Source organism: Homo sapiens, chromosome 6, assembly GCF_000001405.40.
Source record: "Homo sapiens chromosome 6, GRCh38.p14 Primary Assembly".
NCBI classification, from domain to species: domain Eukaryota; kingdom Metazoa; phylum Chordata; class Mammalia; order Primates; family Hominidae; genus Homo; species Homo sapiens.
The window spans coordinates 45,378,492-45,394,220 of record NC_000006.12 but is presented as its reverse complement, the minus strand read 5'-3'; the positions used below and the strand labels follow the sequence as shown (position 1 = coordinate 45,394,220).

General features: G+C 40.0%; 1 protein-coding gene across 2 annotated transcripts in view; it reads right to left on the bottom strand.

The window, feature by feature from the left end:
* The window catches only part of RUNX2 (RUNX family transcription factor 2), a 222,753-nt gene that overhangs the window by 156,862 nt on the left and 50,162 nt on the right, over positions 1 to 15,729 (bottom strand). The gene's annotated exons all lie outside the window — the stretch shown is intronic.

Genomic DNA, 15,729 nt, shown 5'->3' with positions numbered 1-15,729 from the left:
TTAAGAGTGTGGTAGCTGGTCGCAGTGGCTCACGCCTGTAATCCTAGCACTTTGGGCCAAGGAGGGCGGATCACGAGGAGGGCGGATCACGACCAGCCTGAACAACATGGTGAAATCCCGTCTCTACTAAAAATACAAAAATTAGCTGGGCATGGTGGTGCACGCCTCTAATCCCAGCTACTCAGGAGGCTGAGGCAGGAGAATTGCTTGAACCGGGACCCGGGAAGCAGAGGTTGCAGTGAGCCGAGATCACGCCTGGGCAGAGTGAGACTCGGTCTCAAAAAAAAAAAAAAGAAAGTGGCACCCCCTACCCAACCCCAACCCTACTCCTGCTGTCACCATGTTATGAACTGGCTCCCCTATTCACCTTCTGCCATGGTTGTAAGCTTCCTGAGGCCCTCACCAGAAAGGGATGCTGGCACTACACTTCTTATATAGCCTGCAGAACTATGAGCCAATTAAACCTCTTTTCTTTATAAATCTTCCTTTACCGGGCTGGGTGCAGTGGCTCACACCTGTAATCCCAGCACTTTGGGAGGCCGAGGTGGGTAGATCACGAGGTCAGGAGATCAAGACCATCCTGGCTAACATGGTGAAATCCCGTCTCTACTAAAAATACGAAAAATTAGCCGGGGTGGTGGCGGGCGCCTGCAGTCCCAGCTATTCGGGAGGCTGAGGCAGGAGAATCTCTTGAACCTGGGAGGCAGAGGTTGCAGTGAGCTGAGATCGGCCATTGCACTCCAGCCTGGGCTATGCAGCGAGACTCCGTTTCCAGGAAAAAAAAAAAAATCTTACTTTACACAATGCAAGAACACATTAATAGTACATTTTAGACACTGACACCGCAGCTATAGCAAACAATAAGCACAGCTTAACTCCTAGCCAGAAAAACATAAAACCACACAGTGAGGGCCTATCTACCTCAGTTCCTTTTACCCAATACACCATACTTGACTTTCAACAAAAAATTACAAGAAATATTGAGAAGCAAAAAGTACAGTCTGAATAGACAAAGCATCAGAACCAGACTCAGATATAGCAGAGATTTTGAAATTATCAGACTAGAAATCTAAAATAACTATAATTAATATGCTAAGAACTCTAATTGAGAAAAAAAGAATGCCATGTGAGAGCAAATGGGTAATGTAAACAGATAGAAACCCTAGGAAACAATAAAAGGAAATACTAGAAGTCAAAAACACTGTAACAGAAATAAAGAATGCTTTTGATGGGCTCATCAAAAGATGTGACATGGACAAAGAACCTGTGAGCCTGAAGATATGCCAGTAGAAAGAAAAAAATCTGAACAGAATGTCCAAGAACTGTGGGCCGATTACTAAAGGGTAACATACTTGTAATGGAAATAACAGAAGGGGAAGAAAGAAAGAAATCAACAGAAGAAATACTTGCAGTAATGATGGCTGAGAATTTTCCAAAATGAATGAGAGACACTAAACCTTAGACTAGGAAGCTCAGAGAACACCAAACAGCATAAATATAAAAAAAAAAAAAATAGATCTAGGCATTTTCTAGGTAATTTCCACACCTAGAAATTAACATTACAATGTATTGGTCTCCCTTCTTTTTCTTCTGACCCTCCCCACCCAAAGTCTTTGCTGTCTGGGAAATGTCACAGAATTATTATGCGGATTATACAGCCTAATTAGTTTTCCCTTTAAGAAGTAAAAGGGTATTTATTTTTATTTATTTTATTTTATTAGGGACAGAATCTCACTCTGTTGTCCAGGCTGGAGTATAGTGGTGTGATCACAGCTCACTGTAACCTGGACTCATGCATTCCTCCTGCCTCAGCTTCCCAAGTAGCTAGGAATATAGGTGGATGCCACCACACCTGGCTAGTTTTTATATATTTTTTTGTAGAGACAGAGTCTCACAAAATGTTGCCCAGGCTGGTCTCAAACTCCCAGCCTCAAGCAATCCTCCTGCCTTGGCCTCTCAAAGTGCTGGGATTACAGGCATGAGCCAATATGCCCAGCCTATATTTAAATATAAATAGTAAAAAATAAAATGTTCTATTAGCTTGCACACCTCAATTGGCGTGCAGATTTCTTGAAGGCAGGTATTATGTATTACGTAATTCTGAGTTCCCCAGAGCCTCTAGTTCTATTATACTGTACAAGCAAGGAAAATGTATGTTTGTTTAACTGATTGGAAACAAGTATAAAGGCCTGACTACATATATGAGAGCCTGCAGATGAGGACTGGAAACTGGTGAAAAGATGAGCCACCAATGAAATGGATTAAATAGTTTTGAAGTATTATTTGAATATTTAAAAAGCAAAACTAATCTCCTCTATGCTTCCATAGTGTGTGATACATTTAGGCTTTGTGTCCCCACCCAAATCTCATCTTGATTTTTATCCCCATAATCCCCAAGTGTCAAGTGAGAGACCAGGTAGAGGTAATTGAATCATGGGGCGGTTTCCCCATGCTGTTCTCGTGATAGTGAGTTTTATAAGGGCTCTTTCCCCTTTGCTTGGCACTTCTCTTTCCTGCTGCCTTGTGAAGAAGGCGCCTTGCTTCACCTTCGCTTTCCACCATGACTGTAAGTTTCCTGAAACCTCCCCAGCCATGCTGAACTGTGAGTCAATTAAACCTCTTTCCTTTATAAATTACCCAGTCTCAGGCAGTTCTTTACAGCAGTGTGGAAACAGACTAATACATTGTGTTAGGCCATTTTAGCATTGCTGTAAAGAAATACCTGAGGCTGGGTAATTTATAAAGAAAAAAGGTTTAATTGGTTCATGGTTCTTCAGGCTGTACAAGTAATCATAGTACCAATATCTGCCCAGAAAGCTTATAATCATGATGAAGGGTGAAGCAGGTGCAGGCTCATCACAGGGCGAGAGTGGGAACAAGAGAGCAAGGGGAAGGTCTCAGACTCTTTTAAACAACAGAATCTCATATAAACTAACAGCAAGAGCTCACTTTTACCAAGGGGATGGTGCCAAGCCATTCATGAGGGATCTGCCCCCATGATCTAGTCACCTTCAACCAGGCCCCAGCTCCAACTTTGGGAATCACATTTCAAAATGAAATTTCGTGTGGATAAACATCCAAACCATATCACATAGAATCTTGTACCTATACAAGACATGCAATGATTTGTTTAGAAGTCCATTTTTTCCGGTTAGACTATAAGCTTCTCTAGGACAGGGATCACATCTTTCTTCCTCTTTTAATTGTGAGAGACGCTTCATTCATATTTTGTAAATAAATAAAATTTGAGAGAGATTTGATCAGAGGGAAGAGAGTCTAAAGCCAATCTATAATAATAAAGTTATGTATTTAAAAGAAGTACTATGTTTCAGAGTAATTTTGAAGGAGTTTTCCCTGAAGGAAATGTACTCCCTTGCCCCACAAACCCAATCTTTTTAGGGAGCCTGTATTCTCAGTTATCCAGCTTCTCTCCTGTGATGTTCATATCTCTATTTCCATTTCCATTGGCCTTTCTCTTTTTTTTCTGACCTAGTTTCTTTCTCATGGGGGAAAATGACAACCAAAATTCTTTTCAATTACCCAATTACACTTTCACCTTCCATTTTGTTCCCTTCCTTCTTTTAACTGCTAACCTTCTCAAATGAGTGATCTGTTCAATATGTTCACATTTATACCCTCACCACACCATCAAGACTAGTTATGTCAACATTAAAGCACTTCTGAAAACTCAAAAGTCACTTCTCAGTTTCTCATCTTCTTTAAGTTCCCAATGTTTTAAAACATTTTCATAAAGCAAACGATCCTTTTATGAGGTGAAAAAGCACATGATAATTTATCTGTTTCCTGTAGTTGTTCAGAAGAAAAACAGGTTTCCAGGTTGGGGTACTGCCAAGGAAGACGGCCTGAACCTCTTAGAGTGGAGTTCGGGTTTGGGGTTTGACCCCCTTGACCCTCACCAGACAACATATTGCTGTTCCAGAGCTGACTCAACTTATAAGAGACCCAGCATAAAAAACAAAATGCTGAGTTATTGACATTATCATTGACATTATTATCACATTACTGAGAAGCCAAATACTATTCATGGAAGCCAAAGAATCTGAAGGTTGCTTGGTCACAACAGAATCAGGATAATGAGAGTTATCTACATAATTTGAATTTTTAAATAATACTAAGACCATCATAGCCTGACCTATTTCTTTTCCTCATTTACCTCCACAGAATTGGAATGTGAAATAACTTTTTTTTTTTTTTGAGACAGAGTCTTCCTCTGTGGCCCAGGCTGGAGGGCACTGGTTCAATCTCGGCTCACTGCAACCTCCATCTCCCAGGTTCAAGTGATTCTCGTGCCTCAACCTCCCAAGCAGCTGGGATTACAGGTGTGCACCACCATACCTAATTTTTGTATTTTTAGTAGAGACGTGGTTTCACCATGCTGGCCAGGCTGGTCTCTAATTCCTGGCCTCAAGTGATCTGCCCACCTCAGCCTCCCAAAGTACCAGATTACAGGCATGAGCCACCATGCCCGGCCTGCCAATATGTTCTAATTCTGCTCTTTCTGTGCTTCCTGACTAACCTCTCTTCTTATTTATATCATATTTTAATCAGGTTATAATTAAGGCTTGCTGTCTTGGATCTGTATCTCTACAATGATCCATTATTTACTTATTGTACAAATAAACTTTCAGAGCTTAGTCTTAATTGTAAGTAATTGGAGAATGTCTCACTGTCATCTATATGTCCATCTATGATTTACAAATATGGATTTCTACATATTATGCCATATTTCTTTAAGCAAGACATACTTGGTTAAATCACCTTGATCACCTACACACATATTTAGCTGAAAAATGAGTCTTTATGATCTTTCTAGACCAGTGATCTGTTGGCTGTTTCATTGTTCAGGATTTCCAAAAGGATATCTCCCAGATCGTGAAAGTAGTTCCAAGTTAGGTTCCAAATATTTGAGCAATGGCAAGATTATTGGGACAATAATAGTAGAAAATGACTTTATTATTGGTATGCAATATAAAAATCACAGTCATAAACATGTGTTCTATTGAAGAGAAACTATTGAACTAAGTATGACTGGCTAACTTCAAGTTTCATTAATATTTATTTACTATTTGTTCACTTACTTGGTCATCAATTAGCACTTGCTGCAAGACAAGTAGTAGTAGAAGCCGAAGGTTTAAGAAACATTTGTTGGAGGATAATTTAAAATTGAGAAATTCAGTTCATAAATTCCTTCCCCATGAATTGGGAAATGACTGCCATTATTTGGTTAGAATGAGATGATACCAGTGCTGGAGCATAATTTGAGAATTGCTATATAGGGGGAGTCGCTGAATATTTCTGATGCTATGAACAACAATTTTATTATTTCTCTATTATAAATGTAAAATGAGAGTAGAGAAGCAAGATTTTTTTTATAGTATTTGCTTTGTAAAACTTGGAAGAAAGAAATCTCTTGGTTTAGATTTTTAAATCCTGTATGACACCCATTTCTAGAGAGAAACCAGTAGATTTTTAAAAGTCCTTAACAATATTGTTCCAAATAAATGTATTTGTAATATGAAAAATATGACCAAAAATGACTAGAATGTGGTTGAGTAACATAGTTTGTGCTTCATCATTGCTTGCTAGTTGGAGGAGTCACAAATTCTGTAGATGCTCTAGTGCAAGTTGTTCTCAAACATTAACTTACTTCAAAATCACCTGGACAACTTGTTAAGTTAGATTGCTGAACTCCGCCCCCCAGAGTATCTGATTCTGCAGGTTTGGGGCGGGGCCCAAATATTCATTTCTAACGAGAAGCAGATGCTGCAAGTACACTTTTAAAGCCACTGCTGTATGCTCTGGGCTAGCTGCAATTTAACAAGCCTCTGGTTATCTCTGTCCTATTCCTCATAGTGTGGCAACAAAACTTTATCACCTCATACAGGATTTACCCTGTCATCCTCACTTTTTCAGCAAAATAGTTGCTTTCATACATTACTGAAAAAACTGGGATCATTAGGTATGGTCTGCTTCAAGTTCTCATTTCTTTTTTCCAATCTGCCTCTTTTCTAATTTAAGACTCATCTCACTTTCTGGGCTCTTTTCTAGGGTCTAATTCTATCTTTGCATCCAGTGATTTCGTCATTAGCCTTCGTCTATCCCAAGTGTTCAAACCTTCCCTCCTTACCAGCTTCTTCTCGAAAGCCTGTAAATAACCTCAAGTCTTTTGATCTTGAACATCTATATCATGGCCCTGAATATTTCTCCAGCTACTCTTTCTCTTTCACAGGCCAATTTCTTGGGAAGAATAAGGAACTTATAGGACTTTCCAAGTCACTATAACCAAGCTTCTATTCCTACCACTCTATTGAAGCTGTTTTGCCAACGATTACCTTCAACTGGCTAAGTCCAATTAATCCTGATTCTCGTTTTAGCATCATTAATATGCCTCTCTGAAACTCTGCTCTCCTGGTTTCTGTGACACCACTAAGCACCCTCTCAACGTTCCTTGTTGACTCTTCCTCTCCTCCTCCCATTGACTGTGTTTAAGGTAACTGTATAAAATCCCAGTGGCTATAACCAGTAGCACAACTGGAATATTCAGGCAGAATGGTGCGGATAGAAGCTAGAATACAGTCTGGAGATCAGGAGAGTATGTGGACATTTAGATCTGGGAACTAGAAGCATTGAATGTGGATATTTAGGATTTGATGTTTGACTCACTTCTCATTGTTTTATGCACTGTCTCGGGCATTTCATTGTCTCCTTTGGCTTCCGCTGTGCCCACACAGATTCTTGCGAGAATGTTTCTAGGCCGAATCTAGGAACAGGGCTGTGTGTCGCATGTGAGTTATGTGTGTGGAATGATGAGTGCTGTGTGCTTCTGGTTCCTAAACCTAAATGTGCAGCCACTCTCTTGAACTACATAATTTATTCTAGCTTCTATCTTGACTATTTTGCCTGAATATTCCAGTTTGCTACTTGTCATAGCCACTGAGATTTTGTACAGTCACCTCAAACATATGTCCAAAACTGCCATTTTAGTATGCCTTGTCTTGATAAATGGTACTACCATCCACTCAGTAAGTCAAGAAACCTTGGAATGATACTTGAGTTCCTTCTTTGCCTTACTTCTATCCTCATGTCTTACGAGTACCCAAGTTATATAAAATTCTACTTCTTTAGCATTTCTCCTGCCATCTTCTATTGTTTCCTACTCCATTGACTTAACTCTAGCCCGTATCACCTCTTCCTGAACTGTTAGCTCCTTCCAGTTTTTCACCCTTCCAACCTGTCTTACACATTACTGTCAACTAAAAAGCAAACTATGTCATTGCATTAAAAAAAATTATTCCAAGGCTCACCATCTTTTATTAGATAAAGCCCAAACTTAATGCCCAAGACTTTATTTGATCTGGCTCCTGTCAAATTTCTAGCTTTCTTTCTCATACCCTATGATCTCATCATGCTGGACAACTGGCAGTTTCCTCCAACACACTGACTTTGCTAATACGGCTCCCTCTGCCTAAATTATCCTTCCTCATTTTGTTAAACCATCATTTACTCTTCAAGGCTGAGTGATGCGTCATCTTCTCAACAGTAACGACAATAATGACAAAAAAACCCAACATTTATTAAGAGCTTATCATGTGCAAGGCACTTTGCATACATTTCCATGTAATCCTCATCACAAGACCTTGAAGACAACTGAGGTTCAGAGAAGTTATCTTCCTTGACATCTTTCTCTGCTCCAGTCAACACTTAGTGGCCTCAAATGACTACTCCCTAATTGTGTCTCTGCTACAATCTATACATATGGAGGTAAGATAATTTATATCAGAGCATAGTTTTGAAGGAAATGATCTCCAATTTCTTTGAGAAAATGCACTAATAGGACGGGCGCAGTGGCTCATGCTTGTAATCCCAGCACTTTGGGAGGCCGAGGTGGGCAGATCACCTGAGGTCGGCAGTTTGAGACCAGCCTGACCAATATGGAGAAACCCCATCTCTACTAAAAATACAAAATTAGCCAGGCGTGGTGGCATATGCCTATAATCCCAGCTACTAGGGAGGCTGAGGCAAGAGAATCGCTTGAACCTGGGAGGCGGAGGTTGCAGTGAGCCGAGATTGTTCCATTGCACTCCAGCCTGGGCAAAAAGAGTGAAACTCCGTCTCAAAAAAAAAAAAAAAAGCACTAATAAGCTGCTGGGTGGGCAGTAAGCCCTCAAAGACTGGAGCCTGCTGGAATCTAAGAAAAGAAAAAACTACTTAATATTAAAAACAAATAAGAATTTGTGGGTGAGGAAGAGCAGAGGACTGAGTAGAAAGAAGAAAAAGGGGCACTGTGGAGAAGCACGATATTGTGGCAGGAGTGCTTTTTCACCAAGGCTGGAGTGCAGTGGTGCGATCTTCGCTCAACACAACCTCCACCTCCCAGCTTCAAGAGATTCTCCTGCTTCAGTCTACTGAGTAGCTGGGATTACAGGCATGCACAACCATGCCCAGCTGATTTCTGTATTTTTAGTACAGACGGGGTTTCACCATATTGACTAGGCTGGTCTTGAACACCTGACCTCAAGCGATCCACCCACCTTGGCCTCCCAAAGTGCTGGGATTATAGGTTTGAGCCACCACACCTGGCCTGCTTTTAAGAATAGAAATTTACAGTACTTTTAAGTTGTGTTTCTGTGATGTTGTGATGTTAACTCCCTTTCATCATTTCACAACCTTAGTAAATCTGCTGTGCCCACACAGAGCTTTGTGAAAATGCTTTTGGGTGAAACCTAGGAACAGGGATAAGTTCCACATCTGAGTGGATGTTTGTGGAATAAGGACAGATGGCAGCTCATCCATGAACCTCACTAGTTTACCGTAAGGGGAAGTTCAGAGCCAAAGCGGTTCAGTGAGAACATCAGCTCCCCAGAAATAAGAAAAAAACTTGGGTTGGGCATTGGACTTGCAAATGAGGTGGAATGGAGGTTCAAACCAATCCTAACCGAGAGGTTAAAACCCAGGGAGATCTCAGCTGACACCCAGGTTACATATTATCATAGTACCTTTGCTCTTCCTTGTTTATATACCTTTGTCTCTCCTAAATTCACCAGTAAGAAGTCTTTTTGAGAGCAGAGACTCTGTTATTCATCTTATATTCCCAATGTCTAACAATGACAAATAGTGTACTTACTACGTCCTCAGTAAATGTCTGTTAAAAGAATAATTGTCAAATTTACATAAGTTTACTGAATTAAGAAAAAATAGGCTGGGCATAGTGGCTCATGCCTGTAGTCCCAGCAGTTTGGATGCTGAGGCAGGAAGATGACGTGAGGCCAGGGGTTTGAGATCAGCTTGGGCAACATAGTGAGACCCCATCTCCATAAAATTTTTTTAAAAAATTAACAGGGTATGGTGGTGTGCATCTGTAGCATCAGGTGGGAGGACTGCTTGAGCCCCGAAGTTTGAAGTTACAGTGAGCTATGATTGTGCCACTGCACTCCAGTCTGGGAGATAGAGTGAGACCCGGTCTTTAAAAAAAAAAAAAAAAAAAAAAAAAAAAGACACCCTAATGTCTAATACTTGAGATAAGATTTTGTGTTTAATAGTACTATGTCTAACACATTAAAAATATAAACATTATAAAATTACTCAATAACTAATTATAATAAAAACTAGAAAACTGGCCAGGCACAGTGGCTCACACCTGTAATCCCAGCACTTTGGGAGGCCAAGGTGGGAGGATCACTTGAGGCCAGGAGTTCAAGACCAGCCTTGCCAACATAACAAAATGCTGTCTCTACAAAAAATACAAAAATTAGCTGGGCGTGGTGGTGCATGCCCGTAGTCCCAGCTACTCAGGAGGCTGAGACATAAGAATAGCTTGAACACCGGAGGTAGAGGTTGCAGTGAGCTGAGATCATGCCACTGCACTCAGCCCAGGCAATGGAGTGAAACTCTGTCTAAAAAACAAAGAAACAAACAAACAAACAAAAAAAACCCCAACCACTCCCCCCACCCCTGGAAAACAATAATAACTACAAATTATTAAATATTTTCAATGTGTCAGGAACTTCCCATTTAAATCTGATATCAACCTTCCTACATTAAGTATTCCTATCCTTATTTTACAGTGGAGGACACTTATTTTCAGTTGAATAACTTGCCCAGCATTATGGCTAAAGTGACACCAAAGCCTTTATTTTTTACACTATACCTGACTGAGTTAAAGAAATGGTTTTAAACATATTCTGGAAAGAGGAAAATACAGCTTATGCTGCATCTGTAAAAAGCTAAAAATAAAAACAAAGTAACCTGGTGAAACCTGTTGGTACAGTTCCCTGATTACTATTAACAAATGATCTGAGCATTACTTAGTCAAAATAGGTTTGTTGCATCCACCTTCAGAATGTGAAGTAGGAATAACAGGTTGCCTTAGCCACACTGTAGTTTATTTTATATGACACCAAATAACTTTTGGTCCTGTTTCCACATGTAATAGAAAAAGAAGGCAGTTATTTGAATAATTTACTGAAATAGATTCAGTTTCAATGAAAATACTTTGGAGAACTGGATGTTTCTGTATACTCGTCTTAACTTTATTCTCTACTTTCATGGATTAATAGACCAAAAAATATTTTTCTTTTTCTTTTTTTTTAAACAAGGGGATGTTTAGCTTTTCTCAAACTTTCTTAAAGGTATTCCTTGACATATATTAGATAGGTCTAAATGGAACTTTATTACATGAGCAAGATTAGAAATTAATTTAATTATTATAGAATGTTACAAATTCAAAGTTCTCATTTCCTTAAGAACTTATTTATTTATTTACTGAGACAGGGTCTTGCTTTGTTGTCCAGGCTGGAGTGCGGTGGCGCTATCTTGGCTCACTGCAACCTCTGCCTCCTGGGTCCAAGCGATTCTCCTGCCTCAGCCTCTCAAGTAGCTGGGATTACAGTCATGTGCCACCCCACCTGGCTAATTTTTTGTGTGTTTTTTTTGTAGAGATGAGGTTTCGTTATGTTGGCCAGGCTGGTCTTGAACCGGCCTCAAATGATCCACCTGCCTTGGCCTCCCAAAGTGCTGGAATTATAGGTTTGAGTCACCGTGCCCGGCCCAGAACTTATTTATTTTTGATGGCAAAACATTAAAGATAATACAAACATCATGCTTAATTATGTACTTATTCCCCAAACTGCATTCCTGATCTCTTGCACCTGCCCAGCATACTCCAACCCCAATCTTCCCCATCTCAGCTAATGTAGGCAAATCAATTTTTCCAGTTGCTCTGAACAAAATTGTTCATCCTTCATTCCTCTCTTTCTCTAGAACCCTAAATCCAATGTGTCAACAAATCATATTGGTTTTCAAAATATACCCAGAACCCAACCATGTCTTAAGCCCTCTACTGTAACAACCCTAGTACAAGCTACCATCATCTTTTGCCTGGGTTACTGCAATAGGACCTGTCACTCTACAGACTATTTTCAACCTGGCAGCCAAGGTAACCAATTTAAAGCCTAAATCTTACGATGTCAATCTTCTGCCAATAGCCTCTCAGTGTCAGGCACACAAGGCCTTTCACCATCTGGCCTAGTGCTTCTCTGACCTCATATCACATGATTTTCTTTCTGGGTTACTCTTCTTTAGCTACAGTGGCCTCCTGGCAGTTGCTTCAACTTACCAGACCTGTCCCCACCCTACGGTTTGCACAAGTTGTTCTCATAGTCTGGAATGCTCTTTCTTCAGATATGTGCAGGTATCTCCTTCACTTTCAAGTCATTCTTCAAATACTACTTTCTCAGTGAGGCCTGCTTCAACTGCCCAATTTAAAAATGACATCTTCCCCATTTCTCCTGTGCTTGGTCTCCTTCCACATCCCTTCCTGTATAAACTTTTTTGATAACACTCATGACCTTCTAACATACTATATAATTTAGGTATTTATTTTAGGCATTTATTTTTATTGTCTAACTTCTGCATGTGAGTTTGATGATGGCATATGTTTTTGTCTGTTTTGTTCACTGCTCTATCTGCAGCTTCGAGAATAGTGTCAGGTACATGGTAGGCCTACAACAATCCGTTGAAATGTAGAAGTTGTTTGATTCCAGTACAAGAGTTTTACATATTGGATTCCATGGGAACGGGAACAACTAAGTTTTCATGTGCCTGAAGAGCTCAAAGGCTCTTTGAAACTCTGGTATTCCATGGTTCCCTTACCATTCTGACTCTCAAAAACATAATCATTTTTTCAGCAGCCAAGCACTACTTTTAAAAGACACTGGACTGTGAAATCTACAATGATAGGTCCCTAAGAGGATGATCATGATTACAATTCTACAAGCTACCTGGTACTGTAAAATTTTTTAACATTTCTTTTCTAATCATTGTACTGCTTTTCCTTATGAATGCAATTGGAAGGTAGGGGAAGCCAATTTGATTACACCTTAATAATTTTGTGGCACCCCAACCCCCTGCAGTGCATCAGCATATTTGATACATCTTTTCACGCTGGTTTTTCTTTTGAAATGTGTAACATCAGGCAGGGCATGGCAGCTCACTCCTGTAATCCCAGCACTTTGGGAGGCTGAGGCAGGAGGATCTCTTAAGCCTAGGAGTTTGAGACCAGCCTGGGCAACCTAGGGAGATCCCCATCTATACACAAAATTTAAAAATTAGCTGAGTGTAGTGGCACATGCCTGTAGTCCCAGCTACTGAGGAGGCTGAGGTGGAAGGATTGCTTGAGCCCAGAAGGTTGATGCTACAGTAAGCTATGACTGCATGACTTCACTCCAGCCTGGGCAACAGAGAGGGAAACCCTGTCTCAAAAGAAAAAAAAAAGAAAAGCCCTGAATACTTTTGTAATTTTTGTAGCACAAATGCTGAAATTATTCTGCACAACTTTAGTATCCATCCTTTGGCTATTCCCATTTTGAAGGAACATAGAATTTTAGGGCTGTAAGGTTTTAGTTCATTTGGTTCTATCATCTCATTCCACAGATACAAAAACTGGGGTGCAATGATGTTAAGTGACTTGCTCAGGTACTACCGGGCTGAGTAATCTTTTTGGTCAGAACAACTTGCTCTAAACATAAAACAAGATACTTTTGAGAATGCAATTGGAAAACAGTTCTCAACGTCAGAAAACAAATATAGCAACAATTGCAATATACGGTTCTAAACAATATGCAATCTACCCAGTTTATTTCCATGGTGACAACTTAAGCATTAAAAATAGAAGGCAAATATAGCAAAGGATGAAATAATTGATAAATAGAAAATAAAAAGTCCCCACAAACATCCTAGCAAGTAAGAGTTATGAATCTCAAACAACAAAGAATTTCCAAGTCACCTGAACTGTCACTGTAGCATCCACATGAGAAGAAACCACTTCTGGCCGGGTGCGGTGGCTGACACCTGTAATCCCAGCACTTTGGGAGGCCGAGGCAGGCAGATCACAAGGTCAGGAGTTTGAGACCAGCCTGACCAACATGGTGAAACCCCGTCTCTATTAAAAATACAAAAATTACCCGGGCGTGGTGGCACACGCCTGTAATCCCAGCTACTCAGGAGGCTGAGGCAGAAGAATCGCTTGAATTGGGGAAGAGGAAGTTGCAGTGAGCCGAGATCGGGCCACTGCACTCCAGCCTGGGTGACAGAGCGAGACTCTGTCTCAAAAAATAATAATAAAAAGAAACCACTTCCATGGAATCAGAGAGATGGTTCCATATTAGCCATGACTTCTGCTGCTCTTTTGAGAATGTGGGCTTACTACCTAATCATTTTAAGATGCCCATGGGCACTTTTACTTAGATACATGCACTTTCTCTTTGCACTAGTGAGTCTACGTGAATATTACATGCCAGAGGAACGTTAAAGTCTACGCTAACAATGCTTCATTTTTCTTTAACAATTTTGTCCAGGTCATGGAGACATTTTTGTGGAGTGATAAATTAACTTGGTCTCCTGATGTGTTTTCCCCACATGCCTTGGAAAATCACTTGTTTTTCTGAGAGGTGGTAGTCATCAAAGCCTTAACTTCAGCAACAGCTTCGCTGTTTTAGCTTTGTTATAATTAAGATACCCTAGTACCATTGATAGTTTAGGATATTTGATATGAATGTAATGCAAAAATATTTTTGGCCCTTTGTATATAGCAATGGTCTCAAACTATGAGCAAAATTATGGCTAAATCAGATTTTCAAAAATGGATTTTAAGAAATTCCAGGAGGTAGGAACCTGGTTAACTCATGTGACTTTAAAAATCAGATCTCTGCCAACAGCCCAATTCAGTTTCCTAAGAATAAATTTTTAAACTTCCTGTATCAATGCCTTAACTCAGTTTCCCTTCTCCATGTGTCACTCTCATTAACTTTTGTTGTGCGTGATTTTTTTTTTTCTTTTTTTGACGGAGTCTAGTTCTGTTGCCAGGCTGGAGAGCAGCGGCGTGATCTCGGCTCCCTGCAACCTCCGCCTCCCAGGTTCAAGCGATTCTCCTGCCTCAGCCTCCCGAGTAGCTGGGACTACAGGCACGTGCCACCACGCCCGGATACTTTTTTGTATTTTTAGTAGAGACGGGGTTTCATCATGTTGGCCAGGATGGTTTCGATCTCCTGACCTTGTGATCTGCCCGTCTCGGCCTCCCAAAGTGCTGGGATTACAGGCGTGAGCCACCGCGCCTGGCCTGTGTGTGATTTTATGCAGGCTGGACACCAGTATCCTAGAATAAGATGATCTGGATTCTATCCTGATAAACTGGATCAAACAGGTACTCATCTGATGCAGGTGAAACTCCAGTGCAGGAACTTCTATGATAACATTAACTGAACATAATTTTAATTGAAATGATCTACTTTTATGTTTCTTTAGATGTGAACATTAATTTTTCTCTTAATCTTCTGTTAACTAATTTCTTGGTAATGTACTCAAAAGAGCTTTCAACCAGTCTTCCCATGTAAGAAGTTATCACCATACTCACTCTGTTACTTTCCCTTATACTGCACACTTTGCTCAGCAATGAATTGATCCCTGATTTACACATCAAGCTGAGCTCTCACATCCTAAATATATCTATTCTTTTGGAATTTTAGGTATTTGGCAAATATTGAAGCGTTGGGGAGATTAAAGAGAATCAAACACAACACTAGCAGACTCAACTACAATCCACAGAGGAAATAACCAAATAAGTTGCTATTTTAAACAATTTAAGCAAATAGAAGGAAGGGATTTCAGAACTCACAGTATCTATAGGCAAGAAAATAACTGAAGCAGTGATGCTTAAAAAGACTTGGTGAGGGTTAATACTTGAATCCCTATAAAATACAGTATTTTATAGTATTTGACAACACAGGTGTGAAGGTGAGCATGGATAACCAGTTTTCTTCTCTAAGCAGGCAATAAGAATGTTAAATATAAATAAGACTTCATATAATATAAAGAGTGAAAGACTGAAAGCATTGTCTTACGACTACTGTATTATTTAAAGAACTACATCTATATCAATTAAATGTGGCAGGACAGAATGTACAGTACAATACTGGGGGTGCAAGATTTTAAAATGAGGAACAGGCCAAAATCTAAACACAGAATCGTCCAAAAAAAAAAAAAAGCCTTCAAGTAGAAAAAGTTTTCAATAACAAAACATGGTAGTTAAACGCCTGCGTCTAGTAACATGAGTTGGGGAAAAAACATTAATAGCAGATTAATGAAACAGATTCTGTGCGAGGTCAGGGTAGGGAGTGATGGCGCGCGGAAGCGGCGTAAGAGCTGGTTTCGCCG